At 54.6% G+C, this 22422-nt stretch overlaps 1 protein-coding gene across 1 annotated transcript in view, besides 2 other annotated features; it reads left to right on the top strand.

Annotated features, from left to right (window-relative positions):
- Positions 13420–13649: a silencer, noted in NCBI's record as "silent region_16765". NCBI's record gives its function as "represses an Ori minimal core promoter by ATAC-STARR-seq in GM12878 lymphoblastoid cells {active_cell/tissue: GM12878}" and the evidence as "EXISTENCE:reporter gene assay evidence [ECO:0000049][PMID:35858748]".
- Positions 13676–22422, top strand: part of GFPT2 (glutamine-fructose-6-phosphate transaminase 2) — a 52639-nt gene continuing 43892 nt past the window's right edge. The window contains exon 1 of the mRNA NM_005110.4: positions 13676–13801. Coding sequence (NP_005101.1) covers positions 13795–13801 — 7 coding nt within the window. The 5' untranslated portion in view covers positions 13676–13794. The remainder of the gene's footprint in view (positions 13802–22422) is intronic.
- Positions 15022–15522: an enhancer, noted in NCBI's record as "H3K4me1 hESC enhancer chr5:179778490-179778990 (GRCh37/hg19 assembly coordinates)". NCBI's record gives its function as "activates a minimal SCP1, AML or CMV promoter by ChIP-STARR-seq in naive H9 embryonic stem cells {active_cell/tissue: H9 hESC(naive)}" and the evidence as "EXISTENCE:reporter gene assay evidence [ECO:0000049][PMID:30033119]".

Raw genomic sequence — 22422 nt, 5'->3', positions numbered from 1 at the left:
GTCAGAAAATAGACATTTTAAGGTCGTTCATATATACTACCAAATTTCTCTCTAGAAAGTTGTACCCCCAGCACTTTGGGAGGCCGAGGTGGGACAATCACTTGAGGCCAGGAGTTCGAGACCAGCTTGGCCAACATAGCGAAACCCCGTCTCTACTAAAAATACAAAAATTAGCCAGGCATGATGGTGCATGCCTGTAATCCCAGCATGAGAATCTCTTGAGCCTGGGAGGCAGAAATTGCAGTGAGCTGAGATCGCGCCACTGCACTCCAGGCTGGATGACAGAGTGAGACTCCGTCTCAAAAAAATCAAACAAACAAAAAAGAAAGTTGTACCCATGGATACTCTCCCCAGCAGTGTATGAGAGTGCCAGCTGCCTCCGTCTGATGCAAGAGGAGAATGCCAGAGGCTCGAAGCCGCAGGGAGTCAAGGCTCGGCCCTGGCCAGCCCAACTATGGAGCCAGGACTGTCCACACCCTGCAGCCGCCTCTTGTGGGCACCGGCATTTCTACACATCCCTCCCTTGTCTTCACATCTCCGGCCACTCTGGGCTCCGGGCCCTGGGGCTGCTGCTTTTCCAGCAGCACGTGGTGCCCACACAGTCTCAGTGCCTGCTCCGGGCCAGGCAGGAAATGGACATTCACGGGAGCACAGTTACAGAGGGTTTGCAGGCTGTAAAAACACTTGCTACTCTCAGACCACCCCAAGATGGGAGAGCGAATGGCATGGGGAAGTTGTGAAAGTTCTCATGGATTCCGTATTTTACAAGTCTTAGAAACACACTAGCCATGTGTGGATACTGTTTGTACACTGATTTGAACCAACAAGCTGTAAAAAGATGTTTTTGAGACAATCGAGGAAGTAGGAATAGGAAGTGAGTGTTAGATACTATTAAGGTATTATGAGTTTTGTTTGCTGTGATACTGGTATCATGGTCATAAGAGTCTTTACTTTAAAATCCACATCATGAATTACAGGCATACCCGGAAGATACTTTGTGTTTGGTTCCAGACCATCACAATAAAGTGAATATCCTAATAAAGTGAGTCACACAAGTTTTTTGGTTTCCCAGTGTATATAAAAGTTATGTTTAGGCCGGGCACATTGGCTCATGCCTGTAATCCTAGCACTTTGGGAGGCTGAGGTGAGTGGATCACCTGAGGTCAGGAGTTCGAGACCAGCCTGGCCAACATGGTGAAACCCTGTCTCTACTAAAAATACAAAAATTAGCCAGGCGTGGTGGCACGTGCCTATAGTCCCAGCTACTCGGGAGGCCGAGGCAGGAGAATCCCTTGAACCTGGAAGGCAGAGGGTGTAGTGAGCCGAGATCACGCCACTTCACTCCAGCATGGGCGACACAGTGAAACTCTGTCTCAAAACAACAACAACAACAAAAGTTATGTTTATACTATGGTCTATTATTATTATTATTAATTTTGAGACAGACTCTTGCTCTATCGCCCAGGCTGGAGTGCAGTGGCTCGATCTCGGCTCACTGAAACTCTGCCTCCCAGGTTCAAGTGATTCTCCTGCCTTGGCCTCCTGAGTAGCTGGGACTACAGGCACGCGCCACCACGCCTGGCTAACTTTGGTATTTTTGGTAGAAACAGGGTTTCACCATGTTGGCCAGGTTGGTCTCGAACTCCTGACCTTGTGATCAGCCCGCTTTGGCCTCCCAAAGTGCTGGGATTACAGGCATGAGCCACTGCGCCCGGCCTACTATAGTCTATTAAGTGTGCAATAGCATTGTGTCTAAAAAATGCACATATTTTAATCTTAAGATACTTTATTGCTAAAAAATGCTAACACAGAGACACAAAGTGAGTACTACATGCTGTTAAAAAATGCTAACACAGGGACATAAAGTGACACAAAGTGACTACATGCTGTTGAAAAAATGCACCGATAGACTTGCTCAATGCAGGGTTGCCACAAACCTTCAATTTAGTGAAAAATTCAATTTTTGAAAAATGCAATAAGGCAAAGTACAAGAAAATGAGGTATGCCTGTATTAGCAAATCAAACCATATCAGGATTTGGTCCAGCAAAACAAAACAAAGCAAAAACTGTAGGGATAGATGGAGCAAGACAGGCCAAATGTTGATAATAGCTGACTCTGGGTGATGAGTACGTGGAAGTCCATCAGATTATTTTTGTGTATGTGTGAAATTTTTCATAACAAAAATACATGTGTGTATACATATCCTTTAAGATCAGAAAGATTTTCTGAAGATAATATTATCGAGAAAAGAAAGTCAAAAAGTGATTTACAAGAAAAGGAAGATGAGTTTCGTAAATGGGTCTAGTTATTTCCAAACATAAGCAACACGTGGCCATATCCTCAGAATGTGGAAGCCCCGTTTTATTGGCTTGGCTTGTCTATGAATACACCTGGGAGTTGTTTTCCCTCCTAGAGCCATTATGAGCTCCCTTTATGTCAGCTCAGGCTGGGTAGAGAAAATCTCCACCCCCAGCAACAGTGCGACTCACTTATGTGAAAGGATGGAGCAGATGCCCCGGTGAGCACTCATGGGTTCTCCGGCAACAGGCTTCCGGGGGCATCGTGAGCTGTGAGACCTCCACTCTCACTGCTCCATGGAAGATTAAAGTTATGGTGTCAGTCATCTCACAGATTATGTAAACAGGTGGTAGTGCTACCAGCATCCCATGAGAAACCTCGAGGAATTTCACAAAGATCAGTGCTTGAAGACCATATCACAGGAAGGCTTCCCAGAAGGGAAGGGCCCACCTCCACCGTGCAGTGTGCATGAAGATAAGGAATGCCTAAGTGACTGGGCAGGCTGCTTGGAAGACCTCTAAACACTGCCAGGCCCAGGGCAGCAAAGGCCAGAGGAGAGGGCAAATGGTGCAGAAGTCCCTGGGGACAAGGGTCAACCTCGCCAGGCAAGCCAAGGCCCCCATCCAAGCAAGGAACAAAAAGCCTGAGGAGGCTGGGTGTGGTGGCTCACGCCGGTAATCCCAGCACTTCGGGAGGCCGAGGCAGGCTGATCACTTGACCTCAGGAGTTTGAGACCAGCCTGAGCAGCACGGTGAAACCCCATCTCTACAAAAAATACAAAAATTAGACAGGCGTGGTGGTGTGTGCCTGTGGTCCCAGCTACTCAGGAAGCTGAGATGGGAGGATCGCTTGAGCCTGGGAGGTGGAGGTTGCAGTGAGCCAAGATCGTACCACTGCACTCCAGCCTGGGTGGCAGAGAAGTCTAGGCAAGCGTGGCTATGGGAAGGGCTGGACCAGGCACACAGATCTTCTTTCCCGTTTTATCCCCACTCTCAGAGTCTCTCCACTTGGATCAAGTTGAAACCCCACAAGCAAAACCCCAGTCTCGCATTCTCATACCTTAGTAACTCTGCGGGAAAGAGACCCTCTCTTTTCTGATGAGTCCAGCAAGACTCCTCTGAGATGACACCTGCTAGTTCTCGTCAGGCTGATTGAGGTCCCCTGTCCAGCCTGGAGCTAGACTGTGTTGATTGGCAGCCCCTCACGATCCAGCAGGCTGAGTGGAGAGAAGGGGTGATTCCACAGAAGAAGTCAGGGTGCTATCCCCAGTGGAGAGGGAAGCAGGCACAGATGACCCCCCTGCCTGTTGGTCACTCCAGAAGGTACCATTGCTGGCTCACTTAGTGGACACCCTCCCTAAGCCTCCTACCTGCACCAGCAGAGGCTGGGAGAGTCTCATGTCCCACCCAGCTGCCTAGACGCACAGGGAAACAAGGCCGCTCAGGGGGCAGGGAGTGGCTCCAGGCATGCTCTGGGGTCTGGCCCATGCCCTTTGGTGCTGAGCTGACGTTTGCTTGGGATGCTGCCCATTCCTGTCTGCATGGCTCACCCAAAACCCACTGTCTGGAGGGAGACACCAGAAGTGTCCTGGGTCCCAAACCTTCAACTTCTGTCCCTGTACTGAGTTCTAAGAATTACAGCCAAATGCCTCTGCTAGACTCAGAGGAGACATTCAGCACCACACTCAGAGCGCTTCCTACTCTTCCTACCCGCCCCCCAGCCCGCAACCTGTAGGACTTCTGCAGTATGTGGTGTTGCTGGCTCAGCTGCCTATGGGGCCAGGCGGGAACCCCAGGCAAGTAGCACAGCCAGCACCCAGCCTAGGCATTGGGATAGGAAGAACTTGGAGGCAACCCCCTTGAAGAAACAGCCACACTCAGTGCTGGGCAACTGCTGCACTTCTCACACTGGTCCTGAGACACTGGGAGTCCAACCTTGGGGCTTTTTTTTTTTTTTGAGACAGAGTCTCACTCTGTCACCCAGGTTAGAGTGCAGTAGCATGATCTCGGCTCACTGAAACTTCTGCCTCCCGGGTTCAAGCAATTCTCTGCCTCAGCCTCCCAAGTAGCTGGGATTACAGGCACCTGCCAGCACCTCTGGCTAATTTTTCGTATTTTTAGTAGAGACGGGGTTTCACCATCTTGGCCAGGCTGGTCTTGAACTCCTGACCTCATGATCCACCCGCCTCGGCCTCCCAAAGTGCTGGGATGACAGGCGTGAGCCACCCCGCCTGGCCCCAAACTTGGGCCTTTCTCACTCTCAGCTTACTAGACAAGAATGCAAGGAAACAGGCGGCAGCCAGAGTGACAAGTGTTCCGGTTCGTCCAGGACTGAGGGGTTCCCTGGGACGTGGGAATTTCAGTGTTAGAACCAGGACAGTCCTGGACAGACACAGACAGCTGGTGCCCCGAGGCTGCAGCCTTGGACACAGTGATTGAGGAGCATTTCTTGATGGGAGTGTGCAGGTGTAAGGGGGTGCCCAGCTGGAGAAAGGCCACTCCTAGACCTGAAGGGGCTGGACCCCGAGAGTGTAGCTGCGGGAGAGAAAACCACATAGAACCTGAGGCCCATGGAAGAGACTCAGTTGCCTCCTGGAGGGCAAATATCCTGACCTCACTCCCCACCCTTCCTGGACCTCCTGTTGGGTGTCGTTCATTAGCCAAAGCCCACCAGAAGCCAGAGGGCCCTGGCCCCCTGATGAAGCCAGACTCACAGGGCACAGAGCAGGAGGAGTGGGTGGAGAGGGGATCTGCAGGGGTGCAGGGTAAACATTGGCACAGAGGCAAAGTTTAGGTCAAGAGAGCCAAAAGTAGGCCCCTCAGAAGAAGGCAAACCTGCCAGGGCAGGGCCCACCTCTCCACAATCACCATGGTAGCTTGAGTGAGTGGGCCAGGCCATTCTAGGCTCTCTGGCCTGCATCACAGCTGCCCCTCTGGGGCATGTGCTCTGGGAAGCCTGGAGTTCCTCATACTCGGGGCTCCTTCCCCCAGGGCTCCTGGCCAGGGCTGCTGTAACCCCAGAGCACACGTGCATCTTCCTGGGAAAGCATGCAGACGCGGCCCTTTGCTGGCCACAGTAGCTCTTGTGCAGCCAGCCAGAGCCCCCTTCCTAGGCTGCTGTCCTGGAGGACTCTGGACACCAGGCTGCCCTGGAACCCTGCTGATTTCCTGAGCCAGGTTCTCAGGGCTTCCCATTGACTGTGTGAGCTCCTCACCCCCTGCCAACAGCAGCCGTATACAGGTCCATCACATACAGCCCTCAAGCGGCCCAGTGCAGACACCCTCTGCTGAGGGTTGAACTCCATGGCCAGGCCTGGGTTGAGCACTGCCATTAAAGAAAGGACCCACAGCCGGGTGCGGTGGCTCAAGCCTGTAATCCCAGCACTTTGGGAGGCCGAGGCGGGCAGATCACGAAGTCAGGGGATCGAGACCATCCTGGCTAACACGGTGAAACCCCGTCTCTACTAAAAATACAAAAACAAAGTTAGCCGGGCGTGGTGGCGGGCACCTGTAGTCCCAGCTACTCGGGAGGCTGAAGCAGGAGAATGGCGTGAACCCGGGAGGCGGAGCCTGCAGTGAGCCGAGATCGCGCCACTGCACTCCAGCCTGGGCGACAGAGCAAGACTGTCTCCAAAAAAAAAAAAAAAGAAAAGAAAGGACCCACAGACAGACCACAGGCCAGCCACAAGGCCAAAATCCTGACCCTGGCCTGCTTTTGTATGCCCAGCCAGCCAAGAATGGTTTCATATTTTTAAAGGACTATGAAAGACAAATCAAAAACAAAAACAACGCACAAAGAAGAATATGCAACAGAGAAGAGATCTCGTGTGGCCCACAGTGTGAAACTCTTTTCCTAACAAACCTCTGTCATCCCACTCTGCTGGGTCACGGCCCAGCCTTCAAGCCCCAGGCAAGTGCTCCAGGGCTGGCTCCCCCTGGGGTTCTACAGGGAGAAGTCCCGAACAACAGAAGAGGCTCTGATGGGGCAGACGGCCCAAGGTGAACGCAAGTGCCGCCCTCTCCCCTCAGCACATCCGAGCCACTGGGTCGTCCTCAGCCCTCCGTCAGGGCCGGGCTGCAAAGCTCTGCTCCCAGGAGCACTTGGCTCTGGCCTTTCAGGAAAGGTCTATTTATAGAATGGGCACATCAACACAACTTGAAACACCTACCTTGAGTTATTCAAAAGAGGCCCTTACAGGCTTCCTACCCACCTCCACGCTGCGCCCTCGCCACACATCGGTCTCCACCCAGTGACCAGCCTCTTGCCTTTTTTTTGGTACCAGGAAGACCACTGAGAGGTGAATCCAGGGGGACTTCCTGGGTCCAGTGGGGACTTACGGAACTTTCCTGTCTTACAAGAGGTTTATAAAATGCACCGATGAGCGAGCTGTAAAACGCACCAATCAGCGCTCTGTAAAACGCACCAATCAGCGCTCTGTAAAATGCACCAATCAGCAGGATTCTAAAAGTAGCCAATCCGGGGAGGATTGAGAAAAGGGCATTCTGATAGGACAAAAATGGAACATGGGTGGGGACAAATAGGGCAATAAAAGCTGGCCACCCCCAGCACACAGTGGCAACCCATTTGGGTCGCCTACCAGGCTGTGGAGTGTTTGTTCTTTCCCTCTTCACAATAAACCTTGCTACCATTCACCCTTTGGGTGCTACCATCTTTAAGAGCTGTAACACTCACCGCAAAGGTCCGCGGCTCCATTCTTGAAGTCAGTGAGACCACGAACCCACCGGCAGGAACCAGCTCTGGACACACCACCGCTCCCTACTGCCTCCCCTCCCACTCACCTTCCTTCCTTACCTTATGTGGGTGTATGGTTCTAGACAAGGTGTGCAGGATTGGCACTGCTCATTCTCTGTGCCTGGCCTGCTTTTCTTTTCTTTCTCTCTGTCTTCGCTTTTCTTTTCTTTTCTTTCTTTCTTTTTCTTTTTTTCTTTTTTTTTTTTTTTATTTGAGACAGTCTCACTTTGTCACCGAGGCTGGAGTGAAGTGGTGCGACCTGGGCTCACTGCAATCTCCACCTCTCAGGTACAAATGATTCTCCTGCCTCAGCCTCCCACGTAGCTGGGACTAAAGGTGCCTGCCACCACGCCTGGCTAATTTTTTTGTATTTTTAGTAGAGATGGGGTTTCACCATCTTGGCCAGGCTGGTTTTGAACTCCTGACCTCAAGTGATCGTCCTGCCTAGGCCTCCCAAAGTTCTAGGATTACAGGTGTGAACCACCGGGCCCAGCCTGGCCTGCTTTTCTTACCTGGCCTTTGCTTCAGCTGGCCTTACCCCAGCGTGCCCTTCCCCACCCAATTTGCTGCTGAATGCCTTCCAACTTATAAAATTCAGTTAGAATTGGAATGCCACTCCCTATTTTCTGTGTGTGTGTGTGTGTGTGTGTGTGTGTGTGTGTGTGTGTGTATTTGCTGTTAGACTGTGAGCTATAAGCTCTTCAAGGGTGGAAACGGTTGGTTTCCTCTCTACACCCCCTGGCCTAGCACAGAGCAGGCACACGTAAGTGCCGAGGACGTTTGGAAAATAAATGAACAGCCATACTTTACTTCCCCACATGGTCCGTGGATGTGAGGCCTCTGCCTGCTCCAGCAGGGACCCCAGCATGTGCCTTTTTGTCCCTGAGAAGATGCTTTGCCTGAAATAACTGAGTGATTGGCATGGGGTGAGCATAGGTAGGGCCACACAGGTGAGGAAAGGCAGGCGTTACCTTCATCAGCATCTTCCCCGTCCATTTGGCTGCCACAACAGGACACCACAGACTGGGTGGCCTGTAAACAACAAGGTTATTGCTCAACGGTTCTGGAGGCTGGGAAGTCCAAGATCAAGGCACCAGCAGATTTGCTGTCTCCTGAGGGCTCATTTCCTGGTTCATGGACGGTGCTTTCTCACTGTATCGCAAGGGGCCAAGGTAGCTCTCTGGGGTCCCTCAGGTAAGGCACTAACCCCGTCATGAGGCCTCAGTCATCATGACTGAGTCACCTCCCAAAAGGCCCTGTATCCTAATAGCATCATCTTGGGGGCTAGGATTTCAACATATAAATTTGGGGGGACACAAACATTCAGCCCACAGCCCCAGCTCCCTTGTCTCTGCCAGAGAGTTAACAGGAACAGGGCGACGGGGTAGCCTGCTGCCCTCCCACCAGCGCCGTCTCTCAGTCAATGCTTAGTGCAATATCAGATTAGTGCTTGTCTCGCACAAACCCCCACCCTTTCCTGGCCAAGCAGAGTGGAAAGCCCAAGCTTTCCAGGATGCCGTGGCACAGAGGTGCATCAGGGACAGCGCTGACGACTCTGGGCCAGATCCCAGCTTTGCAGCACAATTTGAAGTTCTCTATAACCAGAAGTCAAATTCCAGCTACAAAACAATGTTTGCAGAATGACTGTATTGTTGTTTAAATACTGACTATAGATGCAGAGAATAACATTTGGTGGTAGGTAAAAAGATGAGTTATTAACCCTTTAAAAATATTTTTATTCTCTGTTTCCTAAAATGAACATGTATTTCTTCTGTAAGAAAAAAATTGGCCGGGTGCAGTGGTTCAGGCACTGCGTGGTGGCTCATGCCTGTAATCCCAGCACTTTGGGAGGCCAAGATGGGTGGATTGCCTGAGCTCAGCCTGGGCAACATGGTGAAACCCTGTGTCTACTAAAATACAAAAAAAATCAGCTGGGCATGGTGGCAGGCACCTGTAATCCCAGCTACTCAGGAGCCTGAGGCATGAGAATTGCTTGAATGGGGAAGGCAGAGGTTGCAGTGAGCCGAGATCCTGCCGCTGCACTCCAGTCTGGGCAACCAAGTGAAACTTTGTCTCAGAAAGAAAAAAGTTATAAAATGTATATGTAGCCCTATTAAAAAAACAAACCCTACAATCATAAAAGAATGCATGAGTTCAGCTTTGTGGCAGACCTCCTCCAAAGGAGGAGAGAGATAGGTGGTGAAATAGGACCATGTCACCCAGGAACTTGAGAGAGAGGACCACTGTGCACCCTGGCCTGCCCTCATAACAGGGATGGGGTGTGGCCCTCTCTCACCTCAGCCCCGGGGTGGTGGTGGGGGCCGGTGGTGAAGCCATCTGGGGGACAAAACCTGAGCTACGCGACCCTGCCCCTTTCTCAGGCCCCAGACGATCTTCTTACTCCTTGCAAGGATTCTTGCCTTGGTTTCCTGCCTGGCTCTCCACTTCTGGCTGTCCTTGAATCCTGGCCCCAGATCAGTTTTCTCAGATTTTTCCTAACCAGGGATTTTTCTTTTTTCTTTTCTTTTCTTTTTTTTTTTTTTTTTGTGACCTGCTCATGCCCCATCCACCCTATCCCAGCCTCTCAAGAGGGGCGGGGGGTGGAGCGGTGTGGCTTCCTGCCCCATGCCCAGGTCTGGCCCTTAGTCCTGCTACCCCTGGTGCCCCATCATCTTAAGTTTGAGCTGAGGATCGGCCTCCCTGAGGCAGGACACTTTGTCCGAGTCATGACACCTGTGATGTCTCCCCTGGGCTCCCTGAACCCCACCCACTGCCCACTGTGGGCAGCACTCAGAGGTTCCCCTAGGATCTCCCTCCCCACGCCACGGAGTGATCCAGTGCAGGACTCCCAGCTGCAGGCCTCAGGGACCTGCACCCCCAGCCCCCTGGGCCCTCTGCTGAAGTTCAGGAGGCCCTGTGGTCCCTGGCCTGGGCTGTGTCTCTAGGCCACAGTGAGATGTGCCTGGCATTTCTACATCTGGAAGGGCAAAGGGAGATCAGGAAGAACAGGTGACCACTCCAGGTCACCCTGCAGCCATAGCCCAGCCAGATTCAGGCAGAGCTGGGCTGGTGGAAACTGGTAGAGAGGACCCTGATGACAGCATGAGAATTGGCGAAAGTCCAGCCTGGATCCCACAGGAGTTGGAGGAGGCCTTCATCCTACCATGGGCCACATAACCCTCCCCAGACCGTAGTGGAAATGTCACAGGGAAAAGCAGCTGAACAGGGCCTGTGGCCAAGGGATGGCAGGTGTAGTCCTCATCTACCTGGACAGCCATGGGACCCAGCTGGGCAGTTTGTGTTGGGGGTAGAGCCTGGGGGAGGGGAAAAGATCTCTGGGTTGTTCGGGAGAAGCCAGATCAATGAGCAAATCTCCCAACTATCAAGTGCTTGCAAAAGCTGTGTAGGTGAAGCAGCCAGGTCTTTGGCTCACTTGCTGGCCAGAAGGGTGGAGGCACTCCGGGAAAGTGTGGCTGGGGCCAGCGGTGGAGAGCAGGATGGGCAGTGGACACTGGGACCATTAGGAGCAGACTCAGCACCCTGCTCCCCTGTAAGCACAGGTATGGGGTCCAGCTGAGAGAGGCACCTGGGCATGGCTCCCCGTGTAAGCACATGTATGGGGTCCAGCTGAGAGACGCTCCTGGGCACGGCCCTGCATCTTCCCTCCTCCTGGGCCCCCTGATCCAGACCAGGTCTCCTTTCTGGGCTGCCACCGGCTTCCTGCCTACCCACTCCCCTGGGCCTCAGACTTTAGTTCCAGCACGATCCAAGAGTCAGGACTCTACTTGGTTGCAAATGACAGAAGTCACTTCAGAGTACCTCAAGCAAAGATGAGAATTTATTGAGCCCTGATACTGAGAAGTCCAGGGATAAATCCTGGCTTCAGACCTGGCCGAATCCAGGGGCTCTGATGTGTATCGTCTCCATCCTAGATCCATCTGCCTTGCTCCGATTGCCCCGCTCTTCAGTGGCCTCTCTCCACCCCACTGCAAAAGTGATGAGAAGGTCCCAGCATCATCAGGACATTCTCCTACCAGCCACACCACTCAGGAGAGAATAAGCCATCTTTTTTACTTAAAAAAATTATTTTGTAGAGACAAGGTTTTAATATGTTGTCCAGGCTGATCAAGCAGTCCTCCCGCCTCCTGAGTAGCTGAGACTACAGGCACGTGCCATCACACCTGGATTTTTGTTTTGTTTTGAGACAGTCTTGCTCTGTCGCCCAGGCTGGAGTGTAGTGGTGCAATTTTGGCTCACTTCAGCCTCCACCTCCCAGTTTCAAGCCATTCTCGTGCCTCGGCCTCTCGAGTAGCTGGAACTACAGGTGCACATTACCACACCTGGCTAATTTTTGTGTTTTTAGTAGAGACGGGTTTTGCTGTGTTGCCCAGGCTGGTCTCGAACTCCTGGGCTCAAGCAATCCCAAAGATCTCAAACTTTTGCCCCCCAAAGTGGTGGGATTACAGGCATGAGCCATTGCACCCAGCGTGCCTGGCTTTTTTTTTTTTTTTTTTTTTTTTTTTTTACTTTTTGTAAAGATGGGTCTCCCTGTTGCCCAGGCTGGTCTCCAACTTCTGGCCTCAAGCAGTTCTCCCACCTCAGCCTCCCAAAGTGCTGGGATGACAGACCCAAGCCACTGTACCAGGCCAAGTTCATCTTTTCTGCTGGTTTCCCTCATGTGCTGGAGCAGGTCATCAACGTCCCAGCCTGGGCCATATGCTGACCTCTGAACCACTGCCCAGGCTGTGTGGCCAGGCCCAGGCCATCAACCTCCCAGATGACTCTCAGAGGGTTCTCAAAGCAGGAGTGATGCTAGGCCGGCAGCTGCTACAGACACATCCCCATGGGTGGTAGTGTGCACTCATGCCGTTCCTCACCGTGGACCTGTGACTCCTCCAGGAGGATAAAGGACAGATTTGGACCCTGCTAAGACCCCAGGGCTCCTGGGGTCTTGGTGCTATCAGAGGGCCTGTTGACATCACCCTGTCCCCGCCTCAGTTACAACAGTGGAGGCCAGTCTGGGCCAAACAACCTGATCTCCACATTCAAGTTCTAGCCCTCATCCAGGGGACCTTTGCACTGCCTGCTGCTCCCTCCTTCCTGGCTTCGCTAGGCTCTGGACCACCTGCACCAGCGCAGCCCTGCCCAGTCCCAGGCAGAGCCTGGCACCCTCTCCACCGCTGGCCCAGCCCCCTCCTTGTATCCTACCTGGAATTTTTAGCTCTCTGTGTAACCACGAGCTTAGTGTCTGCTTCCCCTTCACTTGTAAGTGCCAGGAGGGCAGGGCCAGATCTGTTCTCATTCATCAATAAGTCTCTTGCACCTGCACCCTGACAGGTGTGAAGTGGGTTCTTAGGAATGAGAGAAGGAAGGAAGGAAAGCGACCCTGCATAGTGGAGGGTTGGGGGCAAACGCTGCGGCTCCTGAATCGCTCTGAGATTTCCCAACAACAGGACTCACCCAAGCCCCCTCCTTCGCTGTCGTGGAGCCTCAGTTTTCCCAACCCTCCAATGGCACAACCTCCTTCCCCCAGGGCTTGCAGAGTCGCGGTGAAACTAGGGAGGGATTATGTTAGAAAAATGCTCTAGACGAGATGTAAAAATCTTTTTTTTTTTACACGACTGAGGAGGATCCGTTTAGAATTTCAGGATTTTTTTAAGAAAAAAAAAAACTTCAAAGTGCGCAAACGTTGGGCCGGTTCTCGTGACCTTCCTCGGGAGACGAGGGGCCCAGAGTGCAGGGGGAACGGGAGGGACGGCCGGGAACCAGGGCGGAGAAACGCGGGCCTTGGTGCCTCACTGGGGGGTCGGATTCCGACCCCAGGCGTAGGAACCCCCGGGTCCCTCGCGGGCCTGCAGCGCGAGGCAGATCTGGGGAGGGGGCAGCTCGGCGCGGGTGGGGTCGGGGCTTCCTGGGGCGCCTCCAGCTTCGTTCACAACCTGCGGAACCCTCGCCTTCAAGCTCGGGCTCCGCGGCAAATCCCAGGGTCGAATTCTGCCACCGCCGCGGCGTCCGGTTTTGGCAGAGTCCTTGTCTGCCTCCGGGAGCCTCGGTTTTCTCGTCTCTCCGCCAAGCCCGGGCGTTCTCTCCACGCAGGGTGAGGGCCAGGCTTAGAGGTCTGCGGAGCTCTGAAACAAGCCTGTCACTCAGATGGGAGCGCGGCAGGAACAGCGGCTCACGCGGGTTTCCGGAGCGCGCGAGTGATGCCGGACCCCTCGCTCTGCCCCTTACGCGGCCCGTCTGACTTCTCAGCACCCCGTGGGAGGGAGCTTCCCTGGGTAGCCCCGTTTCACAGACGGGAAAGCGGAGGCACAGCGCGATCGGGCCCTGCCCGGCTTCCACGCCTACTCTGGTTGAGTCGGGGTCTGAACTCGGGCCGTTGGTTGCCCTAAGCCCCGCTCCGGGATCTGGCGCCCGGCGCCCCAGCCTTACACGCCCGACCCGCGCCTGGGAGCCGCCCCTCGGCCCCCCTCCCTGGCTCCTGGGGGCCGGGTCCCGTCGTTGTCACGACAACCGGGGGCCAATGGGAGCAGGCGGGCGGGGGAAGCCCCGCCCCTTCCCCGCCCCCTTCCCCGCCCTCTCGGAGGGCTCCGGGTTATAAGGGCTGGAGGCCGAGCGGACGGGAGCTGGAGCCCGCGGAGCCCACGGAGCCCACGGAGCCCACGGAGGAGCCCACGGAGGAGCCCCAGCGTCCGAACGGGCAGACCCCCTCGAGCCGCGAAGGAGCCCGAGAAGCAGCCACGATGTGCGGTGAGTGCCGCGCCCGCCCGAGCCGCCTCCTCCACGCCGTCCGCGGGTCCCGGCGCCGCAGCCTCTCCGCGCCTCCGCCCGCAAGCAGGCGCCGAGGACCTGGCTGGGGGCGCCGATCTGCCCCGGGCCCCTACCGAGGGGCTGTCGTCGGCCGGGCCTGGCTGCCCCTCACCCGCGTTCCCCGAGTGGCCGTCTCGGAGGTGTGGGTGGGGGATGCCCAACCCGACTCCTGGTCTCGGACACAGTGAGGGGGACCGAGGCCCGGTCCCCACGGAGGGGAGGGACCTGGTCCGGTCCGGCCTGGACCCCGTAACAGAGGGGTCCCCACCCCATGCCGACCGAGGTCGCTCTCCTCCACGTCTCCCAGTCGCCCACAAAGGCGGCCACGCGCAGGCCGGCGCATCCCGAGTGCGGGGCGCCCATCCCGACTCAGCCCGCCGCGCCCACCGAGGAGAGGAGAGGCGACCCCGCCCCGCCGTCCCCGCAGCCCGCCCGGTCGCCCCCGCTGCGTCAGTGCCTCAGGCAGGGCCTGCGCGTCCTCCTCGCGACCCCAAAGGAACGTCTGGTCCCTAGAAGGGTCGCTGCCGCGTTACCGCCTCTTTGCGCGGGGAAGAGGCAGTCACTGCCCGAACCTCGGCCCGAAGCCACGAGAGGGAGTCCGGGGCGGGGAGCGGGGCCGGGCGTCCGATTCCCGCGGCGCTCCCGCGCTGTCCCGCGTGGCTGCGGGACCGTGGGGAGGGCGGCCGCGGCCCGGAGCGCACATCTGCAATTCTTTACTCTCCTGGCTGGGCCGCCTCCGCTGGCCGGGAGAGAGCCGGGAACTTCTGCTGGGACAAAAGGTCACTGTGCTCTTTTTTTTTTTTTTTTTTTTCCTTGAGTAGGATTCGGTTACCCATTCCAGCCTCCTGTGGCTGGAGGACCTGGAGGAACTTTCGAAGCCATGAAAGGCCTCTCTCTGACTTTGCTGAGGGCCGGGGTGGGGTGCGCCCGCGGTGAGCCCTGGCCGAGGTCTGTGCAGGCCTCTTGTCTCGGAGGCCAGCTGCTCGGCAGAAGGGAACGACCTACGGCGGAGCGGGCAGCGTGCTTCGGGATGCCGCCTCACCCAGGCTGAACAGGCATCCGTGGAAATTCCTGAACCCTCAGCTAAAATCTCGTGCTCCCAGACGCCATTCTCCATGTGTAGAGCCACCTTTGGGTGTTTCTGGGGGCAGAGATGAGGCAAAGGTGGTAGTTTTGCCAGATGTCCAAGCCCTGATGTTCCACACCTCTCAGTGTAGCATTCAAGACCCTTGGCCAAAACTGGTGGCCTTGGGGCCAGACTTGTGCAGGAGACCCTTGAACCAGGAGGGTCTGCCCACAGCACCAGAGGCTCCCCTTCCCCTTCCTTTCAGATGCTCCTCTGCCCCCACTGCCACCCCTGCCTGTCATCCTCCTTCCTACTGGCATCTTGCTTTTTCCCAAGTCTCTCTGAGCTTTGGGGGGGCTCTACCTCCTCCAGCTCACAAAATCACAAGTGTTTTTGTTCTGCTTCTTAAAGGGACACACACGCGTTGTCTCCTAGGGAAAGGTTGAGCTTTGGGGTGTGACCACCTGTATCTTCAGATTTTCTGGTACTGACTTGTGGTTGTATGTGAGAAGGAGCTTGAGGTCCCCAAAGGACACCCAGGGCTCAGGAGTGGCTGCGGTCCATGGGGGTGCCCACTCGGAGCCAGAATCAAAGAGTGCGTGCTGGCTTAGGTGCCTTCTCAGAATTCCCAGATTTGCTGATTTGGGGCTGGGGGCAGGGTGGGGGAAGTGGGGAGGGCACAGCTCAGCAGGAAGTCGTGGAATCCCTGCATGGGAAAGTTATTTCCTTTTCAAGAACATCAGGAGAAAGTTTCAACTTGGTGCTAACGTGTCCTTAACATCTCTCTGACACTTGCTTAAGTATCCTGTGCAGAGGGGAAGCCATTCCTGGCTCAGAGCAGGCAGCAGCAGCTGGCTAGAATTGAATACATTGGTCTGTTTGGGGGGGATGATGGTCTGAGTATGTATGACAAGTGATACTGATTTTCCTTTTATGGTTGTTTTCTTTTGGCATGAATTCATTTAAATTTTTGAAAATTTAATCAAATTCTGCAGAAGAAAAAGTAGTGATTATGCTATTAGTACAAGGATACTGCAAGAATCGTGAAGATGCTCCTAGAAAGAACCAGATAAGCTCTTCACTTTACGCTGGGGAAGCTGAGGCCCTGCGAAGTCTGTGCGCACCTGGCGTCTGAGCAGGCCTCGGGTCTCAGATCTCCTGGGCCGTTCCCTCAGGGGCGGAGACCTAAGGCCCTTCCTTATCACTTGGCTGATGACACTGCTGAGATTATGTCTTGCTGTCCTTTATCCTGCTGCTTCTCTCATGGGAAGCCAGGACTCGGCAGTAGTTGATCCTCTACAAACAGCAGATGATTCTCAAAAACTTTCAGTGCACTGAGAATTTAGCTGAAATGACACTTTGGTTTTATTGACATCTGAAAGTTGCTGGCATTTTGCTGACTTTCTGCGACAGAAAATTTACAATATTTCCTCCCTGTCTCTCTCCTTTCCTTCTCTGCTTCCTTTTTCATTCAGCCACTAGTGGAAATGCCCAGTGTTTTCCAGGCCCTGGGGGACTCGAAGATCTCATGGGTGTGGTCCTCCCCTCAAAGAAGGGGCAGGTGAGCCGCAGGGCTAGTCCAGAGACTGGTCACCAGCAGGGACGGGATGCCGATCAGGGCAGTGCTGCTGTGGAGGGAGGACCTTGAGCACGGGCTACAGCCTGGTAGAGTACTGGCCGAACAGGGAAGACAGACATCTTTTTGTTTGGTGCACAGGGTTTAAACCTTTTCCTCTATTAGTTACCAAAGTACAAAATTGGGAGATTTCACATAAGTAGGTGGGAGTTTTGGCTTCTCTTGACAAAATCTGAAGATGAGCAACCTGGAGTCCTTATTTCCAAATAGGGCCTGGGTGACCCCTTGGGTGATGGACACAAACTCGCCTGTTCTCCCAGTCCTTCCCAGCTGCCTCCCTCACTCATGGGACTCTGCACAACAGAGGCAGGAGCTGACCTTCCTAGGAAGAAGGGGAGGGACCTGGGGCAGTGCCACAAGGACCCAGACACGAGCACGGGCCCTGCAGAGAGGAGGGGGTGGCAGGCACGCTGGGCTGGGGCACAGCATGAGCTGGAGTGTGGCAGCATGGACCAGGCATGCATGGGGATTTGGCAGGAAGGATTTGCGCTTCCCATCCACGAATTTGTAAACTGTCCCTGTGCGTCCCATACTGCACTTAGTAATCTGTGAGGGAGAAAAAAAAAAAAACAATCACTGTGAAGAGCTGGAGAATTCTTAGTTCTTGCCAGAAGGTGAAGCCCTTGCCTTGACATCACCGTCTTTTGTCCTGGTTGGTGTGTTCGTCTCCACTGGCTGCTGTAACAAATGACTGCAAACTTACTGATTTAAAACAACAGAAATGTATTCGCTCACAGTTCTGGAGACCACAAGTCCAGAATCGGTTTTACTTGGCCCAGATCAAGGTACCTTCAGGGCTGAGCCTCCTCCAGAGGCTCTGAGGAGAATCTGTCGCCGGCCTCTCCCAGCTCCTGGGGCTGCCGCGTTCCTTGGCTTGTGGCTGTGTCGCTCCAGTCTCTGTGCTGGCTGCAGCCCTCCACTGTCTCCTCAGGGGATTCCCAAGTTCAGAAAAACCTTCTTTTTATAACTTTATGGTATAGCATCAGTAAACAGTGCTTTTCAATTGAGAGATTATTTTTGTATCTAGCAAAATTAGCTTATAAAGAGTGATTAATTTGAGGTTATAAGTTTGAGAGAAAATTCTGAAAATGAATTTCACAATAAAACAATTAAACTATTTAGGTATTTTATTTTTATTTTTAGAGGCAGAGTCTCACTCTGTTACCCAGGCTGGGATGCAGTGGGGCAATCATGGCTCACTGCATCCTTGAACTCCTGGGCTCAAGCCATCCTCCCACCTCGGCCTCCCAAAGTGCTGGGATTACAGGCATGAGCCACTGTACCTGTCCCCTTCTTTTCTTAAGATTTTTTTTTCTTTTAATTAAATATATATCACTTCCCTCTTTGTTTTTGGTGAAACTGTAAGAATGAAAGGGACACTGGCAACTTTTCTATTAAAAAATAGAAATGGCCGGGCACGGGGACTCACACCTGTAATCCCAGCACTTTGGGAGGCCGAGGTGGGTGGATCACGAGGTCAGGAGATCGAGACCATCCTGGCCAACATGGTAAAACCCTGTCTCTACTAAAATACAAAAAATTAGCCAGGTGTGGTGGCACGCACCTGTAGTCCCAGCTACTCGGGAAGGAGAGGCAGGAGAATTGCTTGAACCCAGGAGGCAGAGGTTGCAGTGAGCCGAGATCGTGCCACTACACTCCAGCCTGGCGACAGAGCAAGACCCTGTCTCAAAAAAAGAAAACAAAAAAAAAAAAAAAGAAAAGAAATGTCCTGTCCAGGTTACCACAGGAAGCAGAGTCTATTATCTCATGGATTCCAATGGTGAGGTCACTTTAACTCCTGGGGTCCCAAAGAGGCCTGGGGCAGTCTGGGGCTGTCTCCAGGGGAGCCAAGTCCCCTTCTTACCCTGAGCCAGGTGCCGCGTCTGCTCAGGGCCCCCGCCAGGCCCGCAGGCTCCTCTGTCTTTCTGTAAGAGCCTGGCGTGGGATCACATGCATCCGCGGCACCTCCAGCTTTGATCTTGTTTCTGCAAGGAGGTGGCAGGAATTGTCATCCCTGCTTCACCAAGTGACCTTTCCCAGTGTATGAGAGGCCACAGCTCCTCAGCAGCCCTTGCCCAAGGCCCAGGGGACTCTCCACACCTGTGGGCCTCACCCAGGAGAGTGGACCTGTCCCTCTTCCCCCAACACACACAGGCAGGCCCAGGCACACACGTGCACACGCTCGGGAATTTCACGAGCCCTCATTGAGGCAGACATTCAACTGGCCGTACTCTTCTGTTGAGGCAGGAAGTAATCCAGTTTGGGACCTGGGATGATACCTAATCTCTAGGAGGCTCATGGACTATAAAGGTCAGCCCCTTCAGTTCGGAGAAGCAACAGATGGTGGGAGAAAGACAGATCTCTGAGGGGTGAGTCCTGGCCTGGGTGGGTGGTGACATAGCTTCCAGAGCCAACCTGTCCTGTGTGGAGCACTGGCTGGGCCTCTCCCTGGAACGGTCCCCTCACTCAGAGTGAGGGCTGGGCTTTCGTTGGGAAGCCGATGCTTGGAAAGTTGGAGAGATTTTTCAAAACAAGCGTCACCAGAATCAGAACGTGGGCCCAACCTGGCTGCTGCGAAGTGGTGTCTTCCCCATCCCCCAGGCCGCAAATCATCCCTCCCCTCCACCCCCACGCTCAGCACTCCAGGGGCTGTAGAGGAAATCCCAGGAATTCAGTGCCCTAGTGTGGCTGACCTTCTGGCTGGGTGTCCAGGGAATATCATCTCCCTGCGCTGGCCATTGTCGTTATCTGTCACTTGGGGGTTGAACCCTGAGCTTCAGAGGCCCTGCCTGCGTGCCCCTTCATGATGTCTTTGCTCCTGACTTCCTGTGTGATCTCTCGGGCCTTGTGCAGAGAAAGTGCTGGAAGCCCCAGAATATAGCAGTGAGCCGGGGCCAAGAGGCTACAGTCTCCTCTCGGAGGGCTCATGTCGAATCCCTTCTGGAATCCCCTTGAGTTTTTCTCGGTCCCTCTCCTTCTGGGACCTTTCCCGGTTCATTTTATCTATCAATTTTGAGGATAGGGCCCTGAAAGGCTGTCTGGAAGCTCTGGGTGGGTGACCACAGGGCACATGACCAAACTGGGTGGTGGGGCCAGGGCAGCCTCTGCCCCCAGGCCGGGCCTTTCTCCAAGCCACCTGGGCTCTCCTGCTGGTAGGAAGGATGCTTGGCCCAGGGCCATCTTTGCAGAGGTTGCAAAGTGCTCCTTTTCTTTAGAAAGATCTCCAGGCTCCTGTATCTCAGACTTTCCATAAAGCCTGCATTTTCAGGCTCTCCTGCCTTCGGCTCTCCTGGCCTCTCAATCCCAACCCTCTGCAGGCTCTTGGGAACCTGAAGGCACCTCCCTGTCCAGCCCCTCTGGGCGCTCAGCATCCCCCACCTGGCTGGGTCCATCCCCTGTCTCTTCAATGTGAGAAATAAGACTGCTCCCAGGTTTGCTAGGCCTGATGTCTGTTCCCTCTCAGTTCTGCAAGGAGATTTCCAAGCTAAGAAGAGTAACAGAAAGGGGAAAACTTTCCCCCAAAGAAGTTTGGTGTTATTTACTGCCCCGTTCTCAGCTCATTTAAAATCCTGTCGCCTGCCAGTGATGCCTTTCTTACGCCGTGGGCAGCCCTGGGAGTGGAGGCTAGGAAAGAGCAGTAGATCAAGGTAGAAAGTGACAGATGCCTTGAAAAGGGGACGGAAAGTTGGAAAAAGGGGTTCAGAGGAGGGAAAAGATCTTCATCTGGGGTAGGGGGTTGGAGAAGGCATCACATGTGCATAGGCCTGGGGGCCCCAGGGGCGCACGCACTGGGCTGAGGGCACCCTGCAGGAGTGGGACCCAGAGGGCGGAAGCTGCAGGGTGGCATGGGGAGCAAGGCGGGCTCAGGCCAGACAGCAGGAGGGGTTGACGTCACGCGGTGGGCCCGCGGGGCAGAGAAGACGAGAGAGGGATGTAGCTGGAACCTGCCTTGCCGTGGTCACCGAGGCCCTGGTGGGGTGGGGGCTGAACAGGAGGAGAAAGGTGGAGTTGGAAGCTGGACTGTCCCGTGGTGGGGCTTGGCTCTCAGGGGGCAGCACCTGTCCTGGACCCATCTGGTGCTAGGCGGGCATCTCCTCAGAAGCCAGGGACCCTCTGTGTGAGCTATACCTTTCTTCTTGGGATAGGTTTCTATGCTGATTGTGGGGAGGTGGGGGTAGAAGTGGTGAGCCCAGGCTTGCAAAAAGGCAGACCTGGCTGTGAATTCCTCAAGTCTTTGGCAGTGGAGCCTCCGATGCCATCTCTATCCCTGGGAACCACAGTCTCTTCACACAGGATGTCATGAGGATTAGAGGAGGTGAAGCTCGGGAAGGGTTGGCATGCGGGGAGCCACTGTAGATGGTGGTTTACCCAGCAGGGTTCTGGGAGCCTTCCCTAGGCCCTGGCTCATTTGATTAGAAGGCTGTCCTCATGCCAGTCCTGGGATCCTCATGGTGCATGGGGCCGGGGGTGTTGTGCGGGGGGATGTAAGCCTCTGTGTTTGATTATCTTGGGGTTAACCGAGAGTTCTGGTGGCACCGTGCTCCCATTGTAAGGGTCTGGCACTCAGGGACCTCCTGCCTCTGTGTCCCTCTTGTCCTTGCTGTGGGTCCCAGTGAGCGGAGCTGCTTATGCTTGGCTGAACGTGGCTGTCTCAGACCCAGCTCAAAGGCTACCTTCTCTGGCATTCCTCCATCTGTTCATTCATTCACTCAACATGGATTTATTGAGCACCTAAGATGTGCCAGGCCCTGGGCCAGGTGCTGGGGACTCAGCAATGGATGAGACAGATGTGGTCCCATCCTCCAGAAGGTTACAATCCAGCGGGGAGCCGAAGAAAAAGACAAGGAAGCAAGTGCAGCGTGGAATAACCAGGGCTATGTGGCTGGAGAAGGTGGTGGGAAAGATCTGCTAAAACCTGCAGAATGGGTCAGAGGCGCCTTTGCGAAGAGCTAGCAAGAGCCAGCCTTGCAAAGAGCTGCCTACTCCCACCCCAGCGGGAAGCCCTTTCCCACCTCCCCTGTGGGCTTGGGAGGTCCCTGTGCATCCCTGTCCTTCCCTGGAGCGCTCAGTGAGGCCCCCCGATGGGTCCATCCCAGTAGCTTGCAGCACCTAGTACAGCAACGCGGCCTTGTGGGCCTGAGAACTGCTTACAGATGAATTAAATCTTGACCAAGCCACAACCAAGTAACGCATTTGGTTTAACCATTATTTCCCCAGGCAGAAGGCCAAGATGAAATGACAGTAAATGGTACTATTTCCCCCTTGGTTTTATTGAATGATAAATCTCTCAAGGGATAATTTCTCAAGCTCCTTGCCCTGTGGCAGGCACTATTGTAGCCATCACCCTGTTTCACTGACAGGGAAACTGAGGTCCGAACATTCAGTGGCTTGCTGGAGAGTGCACTGAAATCAAGGGGTGGAGCTGGGGTTCGAGGTGGGTTCCGGCACTGGCCACGGCCTCTGTGCTTCTGGGTATGCCTTGGCTGGTGAATGGCAGCAGCAGGGAGGAAGCCAACCCAGGCGGGTGGCCCTGGGCTGGTGTTTTTAAGGCTGGGGCATGTGCTTAGGTTGCCCCTTATTACAGCCCTCTTATGGCCGTTGCTCTTCCAGGGGAGTGGAACAGGGGACCAGCCAAGTCAGGTGGGCCCGGCCCCTCTTGTCGAGGGGCAAGAAGGCCTGGCCAGGGCAGGCCTGGCGTCCCCTGCAGAGGGAAGGGCCATTGTGGCCCTGGTGCTTCGGACATGCCAGGAGGGTTCAAGCACCGGTGGAAAGCAGAACCAGCCAGAGGTCCGGCCTGGCTGGGGGTCCCAGGTGCCGCACGGTCACTCCTCCTGTACCCAGAAGCTCTCAGGTCCCACT

The sequence above is a fragment of the Homo sapiens genome, chromosome 5 (assembly GCF_000001405.40).
Source record: "Homo sapiens chromosome 5, GRCh38.p14 Primary Assembly".
Classification (NCBI taxonomy): Eukaryota; Metazoa; Chordata; class Mammalia; order Primates; family Hominidae; genus Homo; species Homo sapiens.
Note: the sequence above shows the minus strand (reverse complement) of the source record. Positions and strands in the feature narration are given on the sequence as shown.